Source organism: Homo sapiens, chromosome 5, assembly GCF_000001405.40.
Source record: "Homo sapiens chromosome 5, GRCh38.p14 Primary Assembly".
Lineage (NCBI taxonomy): Eukaryota > Metazoa > Chordata > Mammalia > Primates > Hominidae > Homo > Homo sapiens.
The window spans coordinates 101,677,767-101,705,404 of NC_000005.10; the positions used below are offsets into that span (position 1 = coordinate 101,677,767).

Below are 27,638 nucleotides of genomic sequence, written 5' to 3' on the forward strand. Positions count from 1 at the left end.
AAATTCAAATATTTGTTTTATGAAATGTTTTGTTTTCTCTTTTCAGTTAAACCCAGATGTTTTCAATGCATGCCAAATGCTTCTTCATGCTTTCTTTAACTTATTTGCATAATTTATTTATGTTAAACAAAAAAGACTTTCCAGAGTTCTTGTTTTTCATTTTTTCCCATAATTTGTATTCTATGGCCATTCAGTGTACCTAAAACTAAAAAACAAGCAATTGTTTTCTGCGTTGTCCTCCTTTAGAGTTAAGATACCTAAACCCTGGTAATTTGATTGGATTGGGAAGATCGTTGTGGGAGTGGAAGAAGGACAAGATTAAACCAGTCCTGAGACAGGTCTCCAACAGGGAACAAAGGAAAAGAGATAACAAACCAAAGCACACCCAGATCAAAGACCAAGGATAATCCAGAGGCTCGTGTAGCAAGATGAGGGCCAGAAAACAAGGAACCAGATGAAAACTCAAACCTGAAAGGGAGGCTGACGAACAAAATCCACAAAATCAGGTGAATGCAGTTAAAGACACAGGCGGATTTAACATCCAGGTGTAGCCAGGACTGGGAGAATTGTAAAATAGAGGAGCTTGAAAAACCTTTGAGCTGCCTTTGTTCTAAATCTGAAAACTGAAGCCCATTGTTCCCTCATGTTGCACTATAATGAGTGGCGAAGGTAGATCTTGAATCCAGATCTTCTTTCTGATCCAGTGTCTTAAAATCAGGAAGAAAGTTGCTCTGAAACATTCAAGCTTTCTAAACTACCTACTCAGAGACCTGTGCTGCTCCCTTAATTGCTCATGATGGCTAAAAAACTGCATTCCGACCCCCTTCAGTTCCATACCTGTGTGCATGTCACGATTTGGGGCTTGACTCTTCTGCCAGATTCGGGCTTAGTGTCAATTCCTTAGTCCTTAGCTGTCCTCTTGGCTTTCACAGCTTATGGCTGTGGTCTCAGACCCTTTCACTGAAATCCGTGATTCCCTGGTCGCAAACCACAGACTTCCACCAATCCCGGAGTACTCTTCTGCCACCTAGGGGCAAAATGCAGTACTACCTCAGCTGCTCTGGGACGCTCTACTACACAGTAATTAATACTGTAGATATTCATGAAATCTTTTACTTCCCAACCAATTTTTCCTCATATTTAAAGCAAAACAAAAAAGTCCATCACTTTTTATTGACACTGTTGGTAGTCATTAAGGATAGACTTTGACTCTTTACCAAACATGCAGTTCCCAAAGAATCTTGGGATTTCTGTTTTATCACCAGGTATTTTCAAAACCATAACACCCCCCCTCCAAATTTCATATGATATAAGGGCAAAACAGTTTTGCATGTTCTGTGTTCATAGCTAGAATTAAAGTGGATCTGAAGGGAAAGAAAGCTACAATGCCAAAGCTTGCTTGTTAATAAAATGATAACAAGAAGAGAAAATGCCACCAGATTTAACAATGTCACCTTCATACTAAACCAAAGTATTACAAATATTACCTTCTGGGCAATTAAAGCAGGTGGTTAAGGTTGTAGGGAAAAACATGGAATGCATCTTTCTCTTTCTCTCTCTCTCCATTTATGTATACATAAAAATATGCATATATTTTTAAAGCGGAGCATATATGATCGGGGGAAGAAGATAATTCAATTGCACTGACATATATATCCACATATCTACTTCTATTTTTTTGAAATACGGCAGTGGCAATATTAGACAAAAATATTGCGAGGTTTTCAAAGTAGTGAAAATAATGGTATCATTTTTTAAGAGCCACCCTATCTAAAAATCAAATATGTGAATCAGATAAAAGTTTAGATTAGTTTCTAACTTCCACCCTATCCAGACCTCTCAGGAGTTCTCTGGAGCTGTGGGAATATCTCCAAGCACAGATGGCAACCACTGATGGGGTACAAAGCCCAGGTTCTAAAGTAAGACAGACCTGGGAATGAGTCCAAGTTATTAACTATGTGACTTTGAGGAGGTTGTCTCTCTTTGTGAGAATCATCCACAAAAAAACAGCTAGAAAGACCAAGTCTTTATGTTACAGCTTACACTAAGCTCTTGTTGAGACAGACTTCCCCTGACAGAGTTCCCAATGCCTTTATGTCTCAGTCCTATGACTTTCCAAAACTCATATACCCAGGAAACATGAAGAGTCTGGTATATAAAACCACCTGCCTAGACCCATCGCTTGTCTTAGAGAGAGTCAGAGAATATGCCATAGGCAGATTGCATAAACCGTTGTTTGTAATCCAGCCTCAAGACTTTGGCCCTGAGTACAGTTGCTGAGTCATTACTCCTTTTGTCACTCCCATCCTTCTGCAGGGTTCTTAACAAACCCAAGAACCTCACTCATACTTGTTTGAAAACCCCATGTGTTTTCTGTTGGTAATTGTATCACAATATCAGACAGTATAGAATCAATCAGATGACCAGAGGAGAAACAGTCCAAGCACCCCAAATAAGCCAAGACAAAGACTTTCTAATAAAGACTTTAGACAATGTGATCTCTACTATTCTATAAGCGCAACACCATGGAATACTAATATAACAAGTTATCAGTTAGGATGGGAAGAAAAGGTAGTTATATGTGTCTACCAGTAGCAACTCCTCATACATCTCTCTCTTTCTCTTTCTTTTTTTGTCTCTCTTTTCTCTCTCTTTTTTCTTTCTTTCTCTCTCCTCTCTCTCTCTCTTTTCTTGACAAAGTCTCACTCTGTCGCCCAGGCATGAGTGCAGTGGCATGATCTCCACTCACTGCAACCTTCACCTACCGGGTTCCAGCAATTCTCCTGCCTCAGACTCCTGAGCGGTTGGGACTACAGGAATGCTAATTTTTTCGTATTTTTAGTAGAGACTGGGTTTTGCCTTGTTGGCCAGGCTGATCTTGAACTCCTGATCTCAAGTGATCTGCCTGCCTCAGCCTCCCAAAGTGCTGGGATTACAAGCATGAGCCACTGTGCCCGGCCTCTTCATAGGTGGTTCTTTGGCTAGTTCCTATTCTTGTCTTGATAATATAGTCAGTTTTGATTTGAAAACTTATCTGTGTACTCCACAAACAAAGCAAGCTTTAAAGAGAGAAATAGAGGAAAAATATCATGGCTCATTTTAATTTCTGACTTCTTGGCCAGCTCCTCACTTGAGTCATTGGTATAGAAAGAAATGTGTATTGCTACATAGAGAAAAATATATTTTTCTTTGACTAAAATGTAAGTTATTTCCATGGATGATTCCAAAAGTCCCTCTAACTAACTAGATTCTAAGAAAATATAGCAATTTTTTTGTGAGGGGCATAATAAAGATGATAACAGGCTGCCCTTCCTTACTTTTGGTAGATGTCTATGGTACTTTAGGCTAACAAATAAAACAGTACCAACTTTATGGAAGACTTGGTTTAGGATCCGATTGGTTGTATAACACAGAGCTTTTGGATATTCATAAAACAAATCAATTCTACTGAAATATATTACTGAGGGTTATTAATGTTTGTGTTACTTCTGCTAGTGGGAATTATAGTTTGTTCAAATGTGCATATATATATATATACATGTATACCTATGCACACCCTTACACAACCTTTAAGCATTTTTCTCTTTCACCAGCAGAAATACAATTTCTGTTACTACAAGCAACATTTAACTACCACCACCCCATATCAATAATTTTTTAGTGTACAAAATACCAAAAGGCACAGAAAACTCAATTTCATTTTAAAAGCCCAAATATACACTCAGATGTGGAGTACAACCTTAGTATTGGCATAGGTAGCTGAAAATGCATCCAAATGACAACATAAAATATGTCAAGAGTTACCAAGTAGATCATCCCTTTGATTTATTTTACCCTCTAGGTATAAAACTATCAAGTTACTTGATGTAAAGCCCAGTGGCTACCAAAAACTATACATATATTCTTCCTCATTTAAAAAAAAATATATATATATATAAATATATATATTAGAGTAAGTAAAATGCGAAGACACAGTATGTAGCTTGGGTTTGAAGCCTCCAGTAAAACAACAGATCCATATGGACTGCTGGAGAGTTATACAGTGTTTTAGTGAAAAGACCTGGTGTGATAATTACCTCATTTTACAGATGAATAAACTAAGACCCCAGGTCATAATGTTATTAAATGGCAGAACTGGGCAAGAACTAAAATCTTCTAACTTTTACCCCAGTGTCTTCCTATGATCCTTCAACAATTACTTCCGCCCATAGAGATTACTTTTTTCTTTATTGCCATGAACTTATGAAATTACAGATTGTGGAATTATAACTCATTTTTCTTAGCTTCTTTAGTGAGTTAGATTAAAGTTAAAACCCCTGCAAAAGAGAAAAACAAGTGATTCTGAGCATTCAACAAGGAAACTATAAAAACCACATACCTTATAAACCTCCCCAGTCCCTAGCCATGCCTGCCCACATAATTCAGGCAGAGGCTGGCCTGCCATTCTGAAAGCTAGCACCAAGTGTGGCCTGGCAAGGAGGAGTAGAGCAATTTGGCTGCTCCCTGGCATTGCGACTGAGGCTTCTATTGGGACTATGCAGTTGTCACTGGGCTTTTCAGGGATTGAAGGCCTGTGGGGATCCCCATGGACTTGAGTGCTACCTCCCCGTCAACTCCAGGTGGTTCTCTGTATCAGTCCAGAGGTCCAGGGTTGGGGGGCGGGGGTGGCTGGGGCGAGGTGTTCTCCTCTTCCCAGGATTGCACAGGTTCCTGTGAGAGGTATGAATTTTCTGAGGGCTCTCACTTTCACACTCTTTCTCCATGTTAGAGAGCTTCTCCTGGTTCCGTAAAAGTCCTGGGTGAGTGGCTGCCCGGTTTTGCTCTTCTCTTTTCTTCATGTTGCCTCACTCCCTTGATGGGTCTCAATGTGCTTTCTTAGGTGGTCCACTTGCAGAGTTAGTGTTCACTCACCACTTTGTTTTCTCTCTGTGAGAGCAGAACACACAAGCTATTTCTAGCCCACCATGTTGAGCCCGAACCCTAATTTTATTAAAAAACTCAATGTTGTGGCTGGGCGCAGTGGCTCACGCCTGTAATCCCAGTACTTCAGCAGGCTGACACAGGAGGATCACGAGGTCAGGAGATCGAGACCATCCTGGCTAACACAATGAAACCCGTCTCTACTAAAAATACAAAAATGAAAAAAAAATTAGCAGGGCGTGGTGGTGGGCGCCTGTAGTCCCAGCTACTCCGGAGGCTGAGGCAGGAGAATGGAGTGAATCCGGGAGGTGGAGCTTGCAGTCAGCGGAGATCAAGCCACTGCACTCCAGCCTGGGTGACATAGTGAGACTCTCTCTCAAAAATAAATAAATAAATAAATAAATAAAATTCAGTGTTGTATTTAAGGAATTTTTTTTGGTTTTTGTTTGTTTGTTTTGTTTTGTTTTTGTTTTACCATTAAGAGGTTAACTTCACGAAAACAGGAAACATGTCTGATTCTTTGAACTATTGTTTTACCCATTCCTAGCATAGGGCTTGGTACATAACAGACACTGAATTAAAATAAAATAGTTAAGTAAGAGTAGAAAGAAAGGATATAAGGAAAAATAAAGAAAAGTAAGCAAGGAAGGAAGACAATGGAACTAAGGAAAAATAGAAGTGGCAGGAAGGTTAGTTCCTGCCTGCAAACTAAAGTCATGATGGTCTTGAGGATATTACATCATTGCACAGGCCAAGCTCCTGTCAAGTAGGCCCAAGGAGTCAAGGTTGTGCTGATGACTGCCTGTGCATGTCCCTTACTATGTGATCAATGATACCCAAGACTATTCATATTCTACTTATACCATTTGTGGGAACAGGATGGAAAGTTTTATGTAGATAATGTTAAGAAGTTTGTTGTTGTTGTTGTTAATTTTCTTCTGTCTAATCTGAGAACTCGTTACCCAGTAATCTCTCAGGAACCCAAACACTTTGATCATATCAACCTGCTGCTACTAGCATTGCTTATGTCACAAAGAAAACTAATGATCCCTTTATTCACCATACTGAATGATGTTCCTGAAATCAAGAGGTAAAATCTCATTGCTTTTTCCTTGAATATGGCCTACCCAAAACGTGACTTGTTTTTCATATAAAACATGGCAGAAGTGACTTTATAGGACATGTAGGGCTAAATTATAAGACGTTTCACAGCTTCTGCCTATGTCTTCTGTGACTTTCGCTTTTGCAAAACTTATTCTAGGATAAGCCAGTCAGCACTAAGAAATTTGACTTCCCTAGGATTGCCATACTGTTAGGAAGTCTGAAGCAGACATATGGAGAAACTGTAGAAAGAGAGCTAGATGCCCAACCATCTTCCAGGTGTTGCACCCAATTCTGCAGAGGTGACAAATATAGAAATGAAGAGGTCATCTTTGGCTTTTAGCCTAGTTGAACCTCCAGATGATTCCTGTTTTAGCCATCATCCAACTATAAAAAAAAGCATGAGAGGCCTCAAGTGAGAATTGCCCAGCTGAGCCTGGCCAACCCACAGTACTGAGAGATAATAATAAATTATCATTTAAAGCCACAGAGTTTTGGGGTGGTCAGTTATGCAACCTTAGTTAACCCAAAGCACTGAACAAAAGTATTACTTTGGAGAATTTATTTTCAATAACAAGGAAGAGAATGTGGTCTATCATGATCAATAACTATATATAACTAGGATTTGTTTCCTAGGGACCATGTGCTTCAAAGTAGGTCTATAAACTCTCCGTGTCTGACATATGATCTGCACTAGTCTAGAGAGATCAACTTGTCAGGCATTCATCAAAGCTTCCTCTTCCACTGTGAAAAACATAGTATTTCTCATACGAAAAAAAAAAAAAATTCCCTCCTACTTTTGCATTTCTGTGGGCTCAGTGCAGCTACAAGTCAAGATAAAAACTAATATCCAGTGGTTCCCAAATCTTAAAGTATGTTTCTTTTAAAAATTGTATCTCTGTGGTGCCTACCTCCTCATACAGTTTCAGAAAGATAAGTGCCCACCAATTGTCAGTGTAATTGGTCTCAATGCAATTGACACTGCATTCCACCAGCAATTTAACCTCATGTTGTGCATGTTTTGTGATGTCCCTGCCAGTCAGACAACCACAACAACTCAAAATGCTGGAAGGATCTACACATATTTTCAGTAGAACAATATTTTAATACTTCCTAATACCTATACTTCCATGATATCATCCACCTGGCCTTACTCTTTTACATACTTTATTTGCATTGATATATTAATATCCTTCATCCCATGCATTTGCCCCCTTCCCCCAACTACAACAGCTCCTCGCACTCATTTTGTCTATGTGCTTTTCCAATTCTGTGGATTGTCAAGCCTCTTTTTTTTTTTTTTTTTTTGATAGAGTCTCCCTCTGTTGCCCGGGCTAGAGTACAGTGGTGCAATCTCAGCTCACTGCAACCTCTGCCTCCCTGGTTCAAACAAGGCATGCCTCAGTCTCCCAAGCAGCTGGGACTACAAACACGAGCCACCATGCCCAGCTAATTTGTATTTTTATTGGAGAAGGGGTTTCACCGTGTTGGCCAGGCTGGTTTGGAACTCCTGGCCTCAAGTGATTCACCCACCTCAGCCTCCCAAAGTGCTGGGATTATGGTCGTGAGCCACTGTCCCCAACCCTCAAACCTCATTGTTTTTAATGGAGATGCCAGATTTTAGGATGTTCTTCAAGGCTCTCCAATTTCAAATTCATCTGTATAATGCATACACTGCCCAACTTTTAGTTTCGGATTATGTAAAATGGGAGTCACCTCAAAGAACATCCACATTGCTGCCAACACACAATTCCTACCAACAACATAACCAACTCACTTTATTTTTCATCACAGAATTCAGTTGTGTTAAGTAATTTTACTGTTCTCCCAGAATTCCATAATTCACAGGAACCATGGAAAAACATATCTCACTAATGACAATAGCCTTTCAAAAAACTCTAGGTTAGGATGCCCAGCTATTCAGCCATGTAGTGAGTATTTGCTTCATTTGCAGGGGCAGATTTGGAGCCTGGAATTGCCACAGCCAAAAAGGCAAGATAAGTTTCTTGTAAAAATCCAAGGATGGAATACCAGAAAAAAAAAAATCTCAAAACTAAATTTAGCGATCTTGGGGTAGAATTAAAATAAAGGTCCAAGAGCAAAGTGTGCACGGATATGAATTCATCCCACTGACCACTACTGGTTTCATGATGTACTTTACAAACAATGAAAGCATCATATAAAATTAAAGGCATTCTATGAAATTACAGGCATTCTATAAAGTGACTTCTGCCATGTTTTACCAGAAAAAAAAAAACAAACCCAAAAAAGTTGAGTCATTATAGCTAGGCCATATTCTAAAAGAAAGGATGACATTTCACCTATTTATTTCAGAAGCACCATTCAGTACAGAGAGGGAAGGGATTGATGGTTCCCCGTGTGATATAAGCAGTGCTATTAGAAACAGGCTGATATGATCAGAATGTCTGGTCTTCCTTGCAATATTGGAAGTGTACAAAATATTAACAATATAAGTAAAGAAAAACACTATCAATATGGTATTCCATGTAATTAATAAATAAATCAAAATCAAATTTTTGAATTCAAAATGAAAAAATTCTGCTTCATAACATTTTGTAGTCTATTTTAAACTCATTTAAGAAAGAAAATTTTTCTTTAAAGTTTTTTGGATGAAGTTAGAAGTTTATTGTTGTCCTGATCTTTTGCACTCAAATAATTTTCAGTATTTGTCTAAACAAAAACACTGCTTTTACATGGATCCATCTGATTTGACAGCATAATCCTTCTCATCATAACAATCAAGCTGGAGCTTGATTTCACCACTTAAGTGAAAATTGGTTTTCTAATGGAAAAATACATCATAATTATGTCGATAAAATTCCTGAGCAAAACTACTTAACAATGCAAGATTCAATACTAACTCTTAACTTTGCGGAATACCTATGCAAATTGCTTCCTAGGAAACCAACTGTTTTGTTGTTTTGTTTTGTTTTTTCCTTATGCAAGGTCTTTTCTTATTACTCAGTTTTTATAAACTGGCTATTTCATTCAACAACTAACAAAGATTTGTCCTTTATAATGTAATTGAGAATGCTAGTGACTTATTTTTAATCTTCCTTTTGAGAGCCTAACTGTATCTCCTTCTAATACATATAAAACATTATCTCTAGCTAAGCCACAGATGTGGTAAGTGAATGCAAAGGTTATTCGTATTTCCAAAGAGTACCCAGGGGAAACATTTTTCTGCCTCTTTCCCTTTTAAACAGTAACTCCTTTGTTATTCTCCATATTTCAGTTATTTGACAGCTCAAATAGTAAATTAAAAGCACTGCACCATCAAATACATTGCATTATATATTCTCCTAATTTCAAATCACATTAGATATGTGTATGTCCTTCCATCTCAATTCTCACTAGAAATATTGAAGATAAACATATCTCATTAATTAACTAAGAACTTAAGTATTATTAAGCAATTTTGAAACAAGTTAAAATTTTTTCAGAAACAGTAAAAATCTAGATCATCACTGCAAAATAAATATAATGTGAGCAACAAATAGAAGCCACATAGGTAATTTTTTATTATCCTATCTAGTAGCTGCACTTAAAGTGTGAGATGAAACAGTTGAAATTAATTTTAATAATAAATATCCAATATATGCAAACTGTTACCAATGCATAAGCAATATAAAACTCATTCAAAATGTATTTTACTTTTTTTCAAATTAACTTTCAAAATCCAGCATGTATTTTGCATTTACAGCATATTCTAATCTGAACTACTCACATTTCAAGAGCTTTTATTAGCCTCATGGCTAGTGGCTACCACATTGACCAGTGAGTTCTCAAGGGTAAAGGGTCAAGATCTATCTTAACAGAGACTCATTGCCCTAGGACTACTTATGAAAGATCAGAAATTTTTAATAAAGTTTCATAAAGCTCAATGATTTCTAAAAGCCTAAGCAATTCATGGAAAATATATATTTTTAGGGAACTTCCATGAGTCATGAGAGATGACTCAATGAGTGGCTTGAAAAGTTCACATCATGCCCTTCCATCCCTGTTTATGCAGCCCAGTTTTATGGATAGCTAAGTATAGCTTATATTGAAAGGAATTCCCTTTAATTACTTTACTTTAAGATGACTATTATCTAATCCATTTTCTTCTCATTTCACTTGCCTAGCATATATGAAGCATTTGATATTCCCTTTCTTGCTGCTTCCCTTGAACTCAGACTAAAGTATGATTTAGAATGGGATCTATCCACACAAACAGTACTATTTATATTTTTTTCAGCTTTATTGAGGAACCATAAATTGTACAAATAATTGCATATATTCAAGGTGCACAATGTGATGCTTTAATATATATTTATATATAGTGAAATTATTACCACAATAAAGCTAATTAATGTATCTATGACCTCACATGGTTTGTGTGTGTATGTGAGGTGAGAATAAGAACTATTCTGTTAGCAAATATCAATCATACAGTATATTATTATTACTGTAGTCACAATGCTGTACATTCAATCTTTAGAACTTATTCATATTTTAACTAGAAATTTGTACATTTTGACCAAAATTTCCCCATTTTCTTCACTGCCCAACCTCTGGTAACCACCTTTCTACTCCCTATTTCTATGTGTTCAGCTTTTTCAGATTCTGCATATGAGATCATGCAGGATTTGTCATTCTGTATTTGTTTATTTTGCTTACCATGAAGGTCTCCAGGTAAATCTTTGTTTTCATATATGGCAGTATTTCCTTCTTTTTAAAGGCTGAATAATATTCTATTATGTATTTTCATTAAAATAGATTTTATTTTATTTCCATTATATGTAATATTTTATTACATTTTAAATAAAATTAAAATTATGGCTGGTTAGTATTCTAAAACCTGATAAGCTATTTTATATTTTACCAAGGAAAATGTGTTCTAACGTTTATTCATTCTGCCTGTATTTGCTCATCACCATAAAGGATAAAACAACCTCCAAGCAGAGATGAGATAATCATTGCATGACTTTGTGCATGTTTGTCTTGTCTTCACATTGTGCCACAAGGTAGTTATACTAATATCATAGGAGCAGAAATTAACGTTATCCCATGGAATGAGAGACAGGCTGGAGACCTACACATGGTAGGTGTATTGATTTCTTCATTGTGTAAAAGGATGTATTAAAATGTGTAAAATAGCCATTTTGAATTTTGACCCTTTCAGAAGCATCCCATTTCACCATACTTCAAAAATGTATGATGATTTCCATGTGATTCTGCTGTTGTTGTTGTTTCTCTTGAAGTGGTCTGATTGTTAGGAAATTGGAGGTAATTGTAAATAAACGTTAAATTTCCATGTTAAACTCTTTGAGGCTAAATGTCTACTTCTCTATTTTTCCTAATAACAACACCAGAAATCATTCTATTTGGGCGAATAGGCTATTTTTGGTTTCCAAAAATGTCACATTTTAGCAAAATATCTTCCAGGAAACAGGAGTCAGGAAGCAAGGACTTTGGTAGCTAATGGGAGTAGTTAAGCTTTAGAAATAGAAATAAAGTAGTGATCACTTTACTATTTACTTAAAGTTAAAGGACAAATAAATATCATATTTAATGCAAAAATGGCTGCAGTGTATTTTGGTAAACTTACAGGTGAGAAATGCCAAAATCACTTTAGCTCTGTGATTGCAAGTAAGTGACAAGGCATCCCAGGGCATGTGATTAAACTGCCACAGAAAAATGCAGTGAAACTTTTAGTGACAGACAAATTGAAAACTTTCTAACAGTAATGTCACATTAACACAGAGCAAGTGCAGTAGCACAGCAAGGAAGAGAAAGAACAATGAATGTGTTTGACAATCCCTGTCTGGGTATTTGGGATTATCCAGACAATAGCAGAGAAAACAATTGCCAATCAAGTGAATTAAACAAGATCTGAGTAAAGACTGTTGACTAAAAGGACATCTGATAATGCTTCTAAATTTATATCTGCATACACTATAAAATAATTAAACACAAAGCAAAAGAAAATGACTAAAATGGAAATAATCCTTCTAAATTTATATCTGCATACACTATAAAATAATCTTACACAAAGCAAAAGAAAATGAGTAAAATGGAAATGAGTAATAAGTAAAATAACAGAGTTGAATTAAAATTTATCTAGAAAAAGGAATTGATACGTATTTATAATCCTATGAACAAACTAACTTGTCACCAAGTGTCACTTTGCATGAGGATTATTTCTACTATTTTGATATATGAGAGCCTGCGAAGAAAGGTGTCAGGCATTCTGGGACCTTTGTGCCACCAAGTTAGGGATATGCGTAGGAAAAAAGATTAATAATATGAACTGGCAAAAGGCAGTGTTGTAAAGATTTGATACGGATATAATTCTCTGTGAAAGTATCAATGAATGCTATTCAAAATTTAGTATGCATACAAATCACCTGGGAATCTTTTTAGCATGCACATTCTAACTCAGTAGGTATAAAGTCTGCACAGCAATTCTGCATTTGCACAGAGCTCCCAGGTAATATTGACACTGCCCCTTTACACATCACCTATTGTGTCTTGGATCTGTGTAACCACCAAATCTTACGTTGAATTGTAATCTCCAACATTTGCGGTCCGACCCAGTGGGAGGTGATTGGGTCATGGGGGCAGATCCTTCTTAGCTTGGTGCTGTCTTTGCGATAGTGAGTGAGTTCACTTTACATGAGATCTGGTTATTTAAAGTGTGTGGCATCTCCCTGCCACCCTTATTTAAAGTGTGTGGCAGCACCCTTGCTCCTGCTCTGGCCATGTGATGTGCCTGCTCCTGCTTCACCTTTTCCCATAAATAAAAGCTCTCTGGTGCCTCCGCCGAAGCCAAGAAGATGCCAGTGCTATGCTTCCTGTACAGCCTGCAGAACTGTGGACCAATTAAGCCTGTTTTCTTTATAAACTACTCAGTCTCAGGAATTTCTTTATAGCAATGCAAGAATGGCCCACTACACCACCCTTTGAGAAACAGGATGTAATGAACTGTTATAGCTGTGTTTATTATCTACCCATCATGCATTTTGCTCCCCTTTTTTGGTCCCTTTTCTTATAAAAAGCACTTTGTGTCTGTGTATGACTATAACCTGCTCACTCCTGAACCCTTCACCTAGATAATGGTTGAAACATTATCCAAGTCCACCAATTAGAGTCCTCATTCTTTAGACTGTGATTGGATTATTGATGGGCACATGATACAAGCCAGACAAATCAGAATCTTTAGAAACTTTGCTGAAACTCTTGGAAAAGATGTATAATCTTTCACTAAGATTTCCAGGTTGAAAGACAATTTAATCCATTTGGTGGTGATTCTCTTTATTTCTCTGAACAAAACACTGAGAATGAAGCCAACATGGGTGGAAGTGAAATTGAGAGATGGAGGAAGAGAAAATTTCCTAATCACATAGTTTTAATGCTGAGTTCAGTCATATCTAAGGCCCATTTACCCCTTTGAAGTTCCCAGTTGGTGAGCCAATATATTCTTTTTGCCTGTTTGACTTAATTGGAGTCATTTTCCTTAAAGAAGAGAAAAGAACTGATCTTACTCCTCTCATGCATCTAATATTCTTCTTCTGAATTAAAGTTTCAGGTTTTACTTCTTGCCCTCTACACCTCTCTGATTTACAATATAAAGGCTTGCATGTGTGATTTTTCTCCTTTCACAGGTGCTAGACACAATCCTGACACAACAGGAACTCTATTATGACCATCAGCAGAATTCAGGGCCATGTTGGTTGCTCTCATAAAATCACATATTCGAAAAATATGGCTGATTGTTTAGACATCTATCTTTTGTGTCATTACTCCTTTCCATATTGACACTTTTGTCTTCTTTCTATCATATTTACTTGACTTACTACTGGTATGTGTTTCTTACAACTCTACAGCTGATAACACTTTTAGCAATTATGTCTAGTATATTAAATATTCAATATAAATTTAATTTTTTCTGCACTTACTCATTTTCTGCTTCTTGCAGAAATACTTTCATCTCACTTATGTAATATAGAAGAAAAGAAATAGTAACCTAGTATGCAATCAGAACTTTTCCAACCACAAAGACTCAGCAGGTGTCATGTAGAGATGGCATTGTTGTCATTCAGCATTTATATTGCTCTTTATTTCCATCATGCTATAATTCTCTTTACTTTCAGTAAGTTAATGCATGTTTTATCAGATGAGGTAAGAGTTCAACAAGGTCTCTTTCTAAAAGCAAAATCATTTCAAAGTCAATTAGTGCCTAAGATGCTGTTTGGAGAATTAAATTATACATTGTTCTGAATTTGAAAGTCTGCTTTCTTCCGTAAGCAGCTTATTTTTTAAAAAAATATAAATGCTAGTTTCAATTCTGGATATTATTTTACTAGATGATAATTATTAGCATGATAATATTATTTTTAATTTAAATTTCTTACATTCAGAAACGAATGGTTCACCCTATGTCTGCCATAAGGTAAAGGCACTGGAATATTTCTTCATGAGTTTTAATTCTCATCGTGGGAAGATGTGTTGCCCTGGTGATTCCCAGGGTCAACATGTGGCTTTAAAAATGTTTCCATGAAGACACACAATTTAGGGAAGCATGGTCAACACAATAGGCTATGGAATCTTAGTACCATCAAATGAAGCCAAAATACTAACCAGTTTTTCAGCATTACACCTCTGGCTTCTCACTGACACTGTATTGCTAAGTGTTACTCATTTTTAGCATTTATTTCTCTTTTACTTCTCCCCCATTTCATCCCTCCCCTTGCCCAATACCCAGTACCTTCAAGCTGTTTCTTCAGTTTTGAGAATTACCCATAGAGGTGTAAAAACTTTAAACTTTTTATCGTCTACTCCAAATTCAAGTCTGTTTTATTCTTTAAAGGAAAAAAAAAAGAGTTGCCTATGGTTCTTGATTTGTGACCCTTGGTAAGGGCCCTGTTGTGAATATTTCTCCAGTGCTCTGTCTTGTGGGCTGAAAATGTTATCAAAAGCACTATCTTCTCTTTGCTCAAATCTACTAAACTAAATTAATTCTTGCTAACAAATTATTGACAATTAGTGACTTTATATATTAACTTTGCCATGTAAAGCATTTTATATTTTCATACAACCTTTATGAACCAAAATGCTTTTCAAAATTACCATTTAATACTACTTCAATAGATATGATACAAAATCCAAATCTCTAAACAACAACAAAAAAACCTAATCAAAATTAACCTGAGATTTTTTGTTGGTAGTTTTGTTTGCCTGTGTTTTTGTTGGTTTGCTTATTTTTGCTCCAGTGAATGCTTAACAACTAGCACAGTGCCTGGTACCCAGCAGGTACTTAGTAAATTACTGATAAACATAAACTAAAAGATGCATTTGTACTGGGTTCCTTTTACGGTTTTACTCAAGCTACTTGTTCCTAGGTTTGGAGCCGCCTGGATGGGACAGCTTCTCACAAACAATTATTTGCCAATTACATCAATCATTCTTGAGATTTTTTTAATGAAACAATCTGTTAGATACCCATCAACCTTGAATCTCCTCATCAAAGCTGCTGAAAATTTCAATCTCTTCACTGAAGCTGAAGTTGCTCAATCACCAATGACTTTGATATCAAATTTAAATCAACTGTTTCTAAAGGTGACCTCAATGGAATCCCGGTCATAAAATGAGGTGGAGAACAAAGAATACTCATCTTAATCACCCCTACAGGATTTACTCAAAATGTTGTTTGGTCAAGCCTATGTAAATAATATGAACTGACAATGATTTAGTTAGGTTTCTATAAAAGCTAGCACTGACCCAGGTTCAAGTCATTTTAAGAAAAATGTAGTGTTTACTGACAAAAATCCATGACGACTAGACAAGAAAAAATGTCAAAAATTATGAAGATTCCCCCTTTCAGGGCCTAGATAGCATCTTTTCTTCCTGTGCTTGGTTCTCTTTCCTCTATAAGCCAGCTTCTTCTGGTTACTGATGGGTCTGCTCCCTCATCATGTATGCTTGCCCACAACCCTAAATCTTATTTTCAATCTTATTCCTAAATCAAGTAATTTTTTCAGTTAGACCAGCTTCTGGACACAATATCAGCTACCTCAGTCACTGAATGATGCCAGATTACAAATACTCACGGGAGTAATCTGAATGGTCTAGTTCATCTTTGTGCAAATATATATATATATATATAATATATATATATGCATATATGTCATAAGTTACTAGTGAATGATATTTTAACATTGCCACATACCTCTATTTTAATTCGTCATTATAAATAATAGGTGGTGAATATGGCAAATTAGATAGCAGGATCTGTGTACAGAAATTTACCCCAAAGTGAATGTGACCCAGGATAGATGTAAACTATAATTACTAATAAAATAATTTATAAGACTGTTGAGGAGTTTTCGACATAAAATGAGAAAAAAAAACTTTTAATTTCCAAAAGTTCAAATCTTCGGATTATTAGCACTTGAGACTTATTAGCTTTATAAAAGCAAAGAGTTCTCATTTGCTAGCCTGCCACTTGTAAGCAAATGATCTTATTTTTGTTCTCTCTCTTTTGTGGTTTGTGCATAATATTAGGGCATTTTAATCATTTAAATTTTTTTTCTGCCAGAAAATTAGATACAGGTAATAGGGAAGAAAGAAAAGGGAATCAGCCTTTCACTCACAGAAAATTTAAAGTGTGAATAAAAGAGAAGATGTTCATTTGTAATGAGTGTGAAAGATAGTGTCTTCCCCATGGAGGCACTCATTTCAGAGATGCACTTTCCATTCTTAAGATCCATTTGCAACAAGGCAGAAATTCTGGGCCAGGTGCAGTGGCTCATGCCTGTAATCCCAGCAATTTGGGAGGCAGAGGCGGATGGATAACTTGAGGTTAGGAGTTCGAGACCAACCTTGCCAAGATGGTGAAACCCCATCTCTGCTAAAAGATACAAAAATTAGCTGGGCATGGTGGCACGCACCTGTAGTCCCAGCTACTCCAAAGGCTGAGGCATGAAATTCGTTTGAACCTGGAAGGCAGTGGTTGCAGTGAGCCAAGATCACACCACTGCACTCAAGCCTGGGCGACATAATGACACTCTTTCTTAAAAAAAAAAAAAAAATTCTGGAAAGTAATCCAGGACCCACACAAAGCAGGAAAATTGGTCATTTGCCCCAGGTCTCATATTTCTAAGGAAGTTAATGATTTAGGTTATTAATGACAAACTAAAAGATGCCATATATGCAATAGTCATATTCATGTATTATGTATTAAGATGTAAATTTGTTTATAATACATTTAAAGAACAGCAATTTTATAATTTGGTTTGGATTTCTTCATTATTAACATGTTACAAACCTAAAAAGTTCGTAATGTTTTAGACCTCTCTCAGCTTCTTTATCATCTCAGGACTCATGCATGTTCTTTATCTTTTTTTTTTAAGACAAGTTCTTGCTTTGTCACTCAGGCTGAAGTTAACTCTCACTGCAGCCTCAGTCTCCTGGGCTCAAGTGATCCATCCACCTTAGTCTCCTGAAAAGTAGCTGGCACTACAGGCATGTGCTTTGATGCCCAGCTAATTTCTATATTTTTAGAAATGTGGGTCTATAATGCCCAGGCTGGTTTCAAACTCCTGGCCTCAAATAATCTTCCTGTCTTGGCTTCTCAAAGAGCTAGAATTACAGGCATTCACTGCTGTGCTTGGCCTACTCCCAGGCTCTTTAGATCTTAAACTATCTTCAGATTTACACGGGGTTATGAAAGAAAATATCTGTTTTCTCCTTGGTCCACAGTGTTAAAAAGGAAGGTTCATTCCCTGAAAGAACCTTAAAGGAGCTTATCTATAACCACAGATGTAGCTGCCTCTCCAGTTCTAACTCTTGGTAACTTAGAATCACTATACTTACAGATTTTGTCATCTTCTCAAGTTCTGTTAAATGCCTTCTCAACATAGCCCATTTCTGGAATATGAATGCTTGTCTTCAAAGGCATTTTATGCAATCATTTATAAAGAAGAAGCAAATCTTTCATATTTTGATGTAATTTGCTGTTATAAATTATATTGACGTTTTGACTTTTTATGAGTAATTAGTTGGATATAAAATAGCATTACTTTCAGTTAGTTGAACTATTCATTTCCATGAAAACCACTAATGCAAATAAAAAATATTTTATCACTGCTAAGGTTGCCAACATCATGTTAAGATGAGGCCTTTTATCACCCTCCCTTTATTAATGCATTTCATATCTATAAATTCCAGATCCTTTTACTTGAGACAAATAGTGCCAAAGGAAACTGTTCAATCATCTAGTATTGCCAACTGCTAGATTTTGTCTTTCTCAAGTGATCATAGCTGCTTATGGACATAATGATCACACTTTTCCATTATAATTAAAGAAAGATTTGAGTAAAAGGTAAAGAAAATGTTAGCGACTAAGAATAAGGGACCTTCTTGAAACAGCTTCTGATAATTCCAAGACACATTTGATACATTTTTCTTTGTGTACTTATTCCTTTATAACTTACTGGTGCCAAGTTCTTATGTTGTTTGTTTGATTTGATCTTACTGTAGGAACAAAAGCAATGTTTGATTATTACATTTTTAATATTCAAGGTTTCTAACATAAAAAAATAAAAATTCATACTTAATGGATGCACCTATTCTTAAAAATAAGGATAATAATTACAGATACATCAATTCCATACATTTCATTAAAATCCATTAATGTTAGGAAGAATCATTATGTGCATGAAGACTTTAGTATTTAACATTATTCAAGTTTTTGCTATACTCTGGCCTCTTTAACTTTAATAGCCCTTTCTTGTCCAGATAGGAATTTATCCAATCGCACAGACGCAGAAGTACATTTCAGCTCATTAAAACGGAGGAGGACTTACTCTGGCAAAGTGTAATATCTTCCAAGTGCAGCTTCTAAGTTACCAAGAGTTAGAACTGGAGAGGCAGCTACATCTGCAGTTATAGATCACTTATCTTCCAAGTCTTCCCAGTGCAGCTAATTTGTTCTTTATGTGAGAAGTTTATTATTATTATTATTATTATTATTATTATTATTATAAGTATGAAACACTCTACTTATACAAAATGGCATACCAGCCTTTTCCCTCTCCCTTTAAAAATAAACTACGGAGCACTGAATTATTTTTAATAATTGTGTGCTGTGTATAAGGAGGTGGGTGTAATTTTTAACACCTTGAAAAAAATCATGAAATGTAAAGTAGAACTCCCCCATTTTTAAAATCAAATTATCAGTTTCATAAAAATAAGTGTTTTGTGAAAGGAAGTAATGTAGTAATCATGTCAGCAATCAATTTATTTTTCTCTTAATACTTGAGCCTGTATCTTGAAATAAAGGCTTTAAAAGGTGTTGACCTTTTTTTCTAATTATTAGTTTTGTATTTATAATTTTCATAGGCTATTAGTGGAAATTATTATTTACAATTGGGTAAATATGGGAAGCAAAATTTAAGTTTAGTCTTGAGGTAAGTGTAGGATTTCAGCAGCTAGAAATAAAAAAGAATGTGGAACAAAAAATTTAGGAAAGGGAACTGATGATGATAAGAAGAGTTCCTATACTAATATGGTTAGGCTTTGTGTCCCCACCCAAATCTCATTTTGAATTGTAAACCCCATAATCCCCATAATCTCTATGTGTCAAGGGAGAGACCAGGTGGAGATAATTGAATCATGGGGGCGGTTTTCCCCATGTTGTTCTCATGATAGTGACTGAGTTCACATGAGATCTGATTATATTATAAGGGGCTTTTGGCTTTTCCCTTATACTGGAAGCTTTTGGTTTTCCAGTAAAAGTGTGGCTTTTAGTCCACACTTCTCCTTCCTGCTGCTTTGTGAAAAAGATGCCTTGCTTCCCCTTCGCCTTCTGCCATGATTGTAATTTTTCTGAGGCCTCCTCAGTCGTGCTGAACTGTGAGTCAATTAAACCTCTTTTCTTTCTAAATTATCCAGTCTCAGGTAGTTCTTTATAGCAGCATGAAAATGGACTAATACATATCTACTACTTAGCTAATCTGTTCGGGCACTATGATATTGGCTTTTCTTGTTATTTTGTAAAATTTTATCTTGATATAATCTTATTTTCTATGACATATGAGGAAACTAATGCAAGATATGTTATGTGACTAACCAGAATAAATTATCAACTACTTGAATTACTAGTATTAAGAAGTTACTTTTAGTCTAGGTCTTTCTGACATAGGTGAATGCTATTTCAAATACACCTATCAGGTGAACAGAAAGTGCTGAGTTTTCCATAGGTCCTCCAAAGAACCCAAAATTATTCTTATGACATTAGTTTGCATTATGTTGAAAATTGCTATGACTCTCTTTGTTTTGCTTTATATTACTGCATTTCATTTTATTTCATTTTACTTATTTTTTTCAGGGGAAAAATATTTCAGCTCTTGTCTTGAGCTAAGTTATGAAAATTACGGTGAGGAAAATTCTGTATGTGCTATGCACTATATTCATATACAAATGTATATGCTATATTATTTTTATTTACTTTAAGAAATTTATTTAAATAGGATTTTTTATAACATGGTTGGGACATCAGTAACCCTTACCATTCGCAGAAATAACCATAATGTTATTAACTATTAATTTTTTGCATCATTGTAAGATCTCATTACAAACAATATCTAAATCTTATTTGGAAAAACAATGCATACATACATTTGGCAAATGCCAATATTCTTGCATGAAACTTTTAGACTCCTACTTGCATAATTACTGTTCCTGAAGGTACGTAAGAAGACTTATTCTCATTTGCAGGGACAGTTTGCCTAAAGACAGTTTGACCTCAACAACCTATAGTGGCATACATTTGGCAAACTCCAGTTTTCTTTCCATAGGGGAGTACAAGATGCCTTATTTTGGCCCTGTCTTTAATTTCTAAAGAGGCAGGCTCCTCTAGCCACTTTCCTACTTTTGAAATTAACAAAAGAAAATAGTCAGTGTCTATGTTCACTCAGTCTATGTTCAAGTGCAACCATAAACTCCACAGGGTATATCAGACTCTCTCAAGTATTCTCCATGTTTCAATCTAATAAATTTCCAAATCATTTCTTTTTCTTCCATTTCTTTTTCACATTTTCCTAAGTATGGTAATTGCAACTCTATTAAACTTATAGGCTATAACCTCCTACAGCTGGATCATCTGAGTCTTTTTCTGTTGTCTATTTTTCCCTTAGAAACATCATCTGGAACCTCTAAAGAGAGTAAGAGAAAATTATAATCAACCTAAAATTACCAGATATTCTAAGAGAGAGGACGAGCCCCAGATGAAGGGAAAAACCAAGCTTTATACATATATATATATATATATATAAATTAATAAATAAATAATAAATGGGTTATGCAACACATAATAATGTTGTAGTCAACTACAGGACACATATATGAAGGTAGTTCAAATAAGATTATAGTGAAGTTGAAAAATTCCTTTCACTTAGTGATGTTGTAATAAAATACATTATTCACATTTTTTTGGTGATAATAGTATACTAAACAAATCTGCTGTTCTGCCAGTCATACAAAAATGTAGCACATACAATTATGTAGAGTACATAATATTGATAATCATAATGATTACTATGTTACTGATTTATGTATTTACATTACACTTTTTATTGTTATTTTAGAATATACACCTTCTACTTATGAAAGCAAAGGTGAACTGTAAAACAGACTTAAGCAGGTCCTCTAAAAGGCATTATCCTCATAGGAGATGACAGCTCTATGTGTGTTATTGCTCCTAAAGATCTTCCAGAAAAACAAGATGTGAATGTGGCAGGTGGTAATACTGATGATCCTGACCTTGTGTAGGCATAAGCTAATGTGTGTCTGTCTTCGTTTTTAATAAAATAACTTACAAAGTCAAATAAATAAATATACTTTAAGAATAGAGAAAAGCCTATAGAACAAGGATATGAAGAAAGAAAACCTTTTGAATAGTTGTACAACATGTTCTTGTTTTAAGTGTAATTACAAGAGTAAAGAAGTTTAAAAAATTAAGATTATAAAGTAAAAAAGTTACAGTAAGCTAACATTCAATAACAACAAATTTTTATTAAATTTATTTTAAATTTTTGTGTAGCCTAAGTGTACAGTGTTTATAAAATCTGCAGTAGTGTACAGTAATGTTCTAGGCCTTCACATTCACTCACCACTCACACACTGACTCACACAGAGCAACTTCTAGTCCTGCAAGCTCCATTCATGGTAAGTGCCCTACACAGGGGCACCATTTCTTAAAATCTTTTATACTGTATTTTTACTGTGTCTTTTCTATATTTAGATATGTGTAGATAGACAAATACTTACCATTGCATTACAATTGCCCACAGTACTACATACAGCAACATATTGTAAAGGTTTGTAGCCTAGGAGCAATAAACTATCACACTTAGCAATCAGCTAGGTGTGTAGGAGACTATACCATCTACATTTGTGTAAGTACATGCTATGATGTTTGTACAATGACAAAATTGCATAACACATTTCTCAGAAGGTGTCCCCATTGTGAAGTGGCATATGACTATTTATGTAGGTGTGTATGTGTGTCACCCTCTCTCTCTCTCTAAAGATTTTTGAGAAATAAACAATGATATTTTTAAAAACTTAGAAGCCTGGAAAGAGAAACAAATATAGTTATTAATAACAATAATTTGGTTAGTATAGTAGCATTATCCGTGATACATATTTTTGTTATTACACAGGTTCTTTATAAGTAGTTATTTTAATGATTTTAGTCACAACAAAACAGAAAAAATATATATATTTCTAATTTTTAAAATAGGTAAGTATTTCCTTTTATTTGTTCTGGTTTATTTGATGTGTGTCCTAAATAAGACTTGTTTTCCCAAAAAAGATATTCTGGACATGCAGAGCTCAGTCTCTATGCTCAATATAAAGGCTGATTTAAGTCTCACTAATAAGAAAATGGAGTCCAGTTTATAATGTGCAAATATTTCTTATTCTTTCACTTTGTGCTAGCCCGGATTTATCATTTCTGGCTCTTCAGAAGATGAGTATTCATAATACAAATGGTCATTACTTAACCGAGTTGTAATTCATTTCAACATTATGTAACATTTTTTCTTAGTAATAAAGCATCTATTTTTATTGTTATCTAATATGTCAAGTAGTGCTTATATTACCTGGGCCAATGTTAATTTAACAAAAACATTCTGAATATTTGTGCCAAGAGAGGTTCAATTATGTTATTGCTCAACCATTTCAGCCAATCTGTTTTTATTTTCAAAGAATAGAGAAAAGCCTATAGAACGTGGATATGAAGAAAGAAAACCTTTTGAATAGTTGTACAACATGTTCATGTTTTACAACATGGTTCTTAGAACCACCCTTTAATTAAGGGTCTGATACATTTCTCCCCTCTCATTATCTGTTTGTAAATCTATCACAAGGTAAACAATTTAAGATAGAACACATGAAAATTTACCACATCAAAACTAGTAGATAAATCATGTAGCTGTGAGCATGATAGTCAAGTTATCCCTCTCGGTAGCTAAATGTAAACTCCTTGGATAAAGTTATTAATGGAAGAGAAATGGGTTGGGGAAAGAAAAAGAGTATCTGAGGAATTACAGTAACTACAAATACTTTACCCTAAACAATTCCTGCTCAGAAACAATGACACATTATTCATACATTCATTCTACAGATTGTAAGTTCATTAAAGGCAGAGAAACCAAGGTCCTATTCATCACTGTTTAAGCAGCACCTAGCATGGTGTCTTATATATAGTAGAAAGTTAAAATAACATACTGAATAGCTGTTGGTATTTATAAAATTAGCTTACAACTCTGTGGGGTCCCTCATCCTGAAAACATTGCAATGATCTGCCAGTGAGTGTGAATTATAAGTCTCTAATCCCATTCTCTGTGTAATATTTTCTCCCATAAACTCCAAAATGCCAGCATCATTACTGAGAATAATTATTATTAATTCAGAAAAACTACAGGTATTTATTAAGTATCCACAAAGTAATAGGCACTGTGTTAGGTAAACAAGTCAAACACACACTCAATTTCCTATAGCTCACAGTCTGTTAAAACAGTCAAATTCAATATAATGGAATTAGTGGTATAATGGGAATAATAGAGGGTACACTCTAAATAGGAAGGTGCCTAAACACCTTGCATTATGTCAGGAAAAGCTCCAAAGAGAAAGTGGTAACTAATCTGAGAAGTGAATGAAATATAAGCTGATCAAATGGAGATTTGAGAATGAATGTTTCCGGAAGAAGGTTCTGTAGCTAAAACAAAAACTTTAGTTGAGAGAAACTTTGGCTTCAATGAGAAATGGAAAGAAATTCAATAATTCTGATGCAGAGAATGGGTGAGGGGAGAGATGAGGATGAAATACTGCGTGGGGTAAGGGAAGGAAAGTAAAAAGAAGCTAGATTATAAAAGGCCTTGTAAATTCCCACATCTGTGCTTTTATGTCATCTTTGATATTTACAAATCACTTTCATCTTTGAATTGCCCAGTTTTTGACTTATTATTCATTGAATTTGCAATATATTTTTCTCATATATCCTAAAGGACTTCAGATCAGATAAATGTGAAAAGTTATTTCTATATTTGGTAAAGTTTAACACATTCATTCGATTCTTGTGAGTTTTAAAGAATTTCATTGACTGGGATATTTATGGAAACCTACAGATGATAACCAGAAAAACCTCAGGAAAAAAGTAATTTTCAAAGTATTCTAGGTATACTTTGAATTATTTACATACTAAAATAATCTTATCTAGTTGAGATATTATATATTTTTATGTATTATAATTTGAATTTGAGTACTATTAGAATAAATTATTTAGTAAGCAAATGAAATACTATTGGTTGCAGAATCCCAAAAAGAGCACATGTAAAACAAATCATAGATCAAATCAATTTCATCTCTTAATAGTCCATTTAGACTTTGTGCTTTGTACACTGTAACAAATAGAATGCCCCACAGCTACAGGTAACAAAGTATTTAACTTGAAATAAGTTTAATTAAATTTTTCTGTCTTATAATGAAAAGGCCTGATAGTAGAACTTTATGAAATATTACCCCAAATGTTCAAAAAAATGACTGAGAACCTTAGAACCCTTTTTATCTCTGCCATTCTCAGAACACTGGTCTTGTCTTCTTTCTAAGTCTCCTACTGTCACACACTGGGTGCTGCAGTTCCATGCATCACACAAAAACACAATAATGTCCAGTGGGGAAAATAAGGTGCAGCTTCCTCCAATTTAGTTACTTTAAAAACAGACATGTTTCCAAGAAACCCTCTTGCTGACATTTCTTCACTTCCCATTGGACGGAACTGTTTTCACATGCCAGTCCTACATTAATCATCTGTAAATGGTTTGAGATTTCCATAATGAGTTTACCCTAAAGCAGATTTACTTTTAAATTTAGGAGAGGGTTGTTATGTTTTTACAGTAGATAACTGAACAAAATCAGATTCTGCTAATAAAAAAGAATGAAAGAAATGGTTGTTGGTTAGAAATAGAAATCATATACTGTCTGATATATTCACACCCACATGACTGGTAAAATAATATAATACAATTTCATTTTATTAATAATATAATATAATTATATTATTAATTTTATTAATATTTGGAAAAATATGAAGTTAAGTTCAGTGGATAATTATGTATTTATTGTACTCTGAACATTACTAGTTTGATTCTTGGCTTAGTTGCTGTATCAGGCTGGTCTTGTATTTCTGTGAAGAAATCTTGAGACTGGGTAATTTGGCTCACGGTTCTGCTGTCTGTAAAGGAAGTGTATATAGGAGCATCTGCTTCTGGAGAGGTCTCAAGAAGCTTCCAATTATGGTGAAAGGCAAAGGGGAAGCAGTCACATAACATGGTGAGAACGAATGGGAGCAAGAGAGAGAGAGTGGGGGGAGGGAGGTGTCACACACTTATAAATGACCAGATCTCTCAAGAACTGACTATCATGAAGACAGCACCAAGCAATGAGGGATCTGCCGCCATGATCCCAAAACCTCCCACCAAACCCCACCTCCAGCACTGGGAATTACAATTCAACATGAGATTTGAGCAGGGATAAATACGCAAAGTATATAAGTTGCCAATAATATAATTATACAGTTTTCAAATACCAGCAATGAAATACAATTTTATATATATATATGAGCATTTGCTTATAGATAAACATTTCTAAATTGCTTCATAAGGCATGAAAATATTTAACTTGAATAATATTATAGGGATAAAAGATAATCTGTAAAGTGCTATGCACAAAAACTGGCACATGCTACATGCTCAGTAATTGACAGGCAAATCGATGCCCCATAAAAGGCATAAAAGTAAATGATGGATTTTGTTTATTCCTGAGTTCTTCTTAATGCTCACCTACGTAGTAATATATGGCAAATGCAGTTCTCATCTTTTTATATTTTCTTAATCTAAAATCATCATATTTGTATGACTTTATAGTCAGTGGGCTAAGTTGTCTTCACTACATGTTGTATGAAAATATGTCTCTGGGAGATTTTAGTAGTCAATAATGTAATTCCCAAGGTGATGAAATACAGATCTCATGGATAAAGAAATGGTAAAATACAATAGAATAAATTTGACAGGAAAATATTTTTGGCTGAGGGGTATACAATTGACTACCTATGTTAATAAGCAGTGTCTGTTATATTAAAAAGGGTTTTTACCTTTCCCAAAACAAAAATAGCAAATCAAATTGAAGCAGGTTGCATAGAATTTAATATATTGGCACATGATTTTATTTTTGTAATTTTTTTTTAAGTTTGGGGGACATGTGTAAGTTTGTTTTGTAGGTAAACTTGTGTCATGGGGGTTTGTTGCACAGATTATTTCATCACCCAGGTATTAAGCCTAGTATCCATTACTTATTTTTCCTGATCCTCTTGTGCCTCCCACATGAAAACTGGAAAAGCCACAATGTGTGTTGTTCCCCTCTGTCTGTGTGTTCTCATCATTTACCTCCCACTTACAAGTGAGAACACACAAGATTTGGTTTTCTGTTCCTATGCCAGTTTGCTAAGGATAATGGCCTCCAGCTCTATCCATGTCCCTGCAAAGAACATAATCTCATTTTTTATGGCTGCATAGTATTCCATGGTATATTTCTACCACATTTTCTTTATCCAGCCTATCATAGGTGGGCATTTAGGTTGATTCCATGTCTTTGTTATTGTGAATAGTGCCACAATGAACACATCTGTGCATGTGTCTTTATAATATAACGATTTGTATTCCTTTGGGTGTGTATCCAGTAATGGGATTTCTGGGTTGAATGGTATTTCTGTCTTCAGGTCTTTGAGGAATTGCCACACTGTCTTCCACAATAGTTGAACTAATTTACACTCCCACCAACAGTGTATAAGTGTTCTTTTTTCCCAAAACCTTGGAGCATCTGTTATTGTTTGACTTTTTAATAACAGCCATTCTGACTGGTGTGAGATTTTATCTCCTTGTGGTTTTGATTTGCATATCTCTAATGATCAATGATGTTGAGCTTATTTTCATATGATTGTTGGACACATGTATGTCTTCTTTTAAAAAATGTCTGTTAATGTCCTTTGCCAG

General features: G+C 35.1%; 1 long non-coding RNA gene across 3 annotated transcripts in view; it reads right to left on the bottom strand.

The window, feature by feature from the left end:
• LOC105379102 (uncharacterized) overlaps positions 1-27,638 on the bottom strand; it is a 328,753-nt gene that overhangs the window by 152,184 nt on the left and 148,931 nt on the right. Inside the window, exon 1 of one of the 3 annotated variants that reach the window (XR_001742829.2) lies at positions 838-962. The exons of the other annotated variants lie outside the window; for them this stretch is intronic. This is a non-coding gene — a long non-coding RNA (uncharacterized LOC105379102). Of the gene's footprint in view, positions 1-837; positions 963-27,638 lie in introns of those variants that run through there. 3 annotated transcript variants of the gene reach the window in all.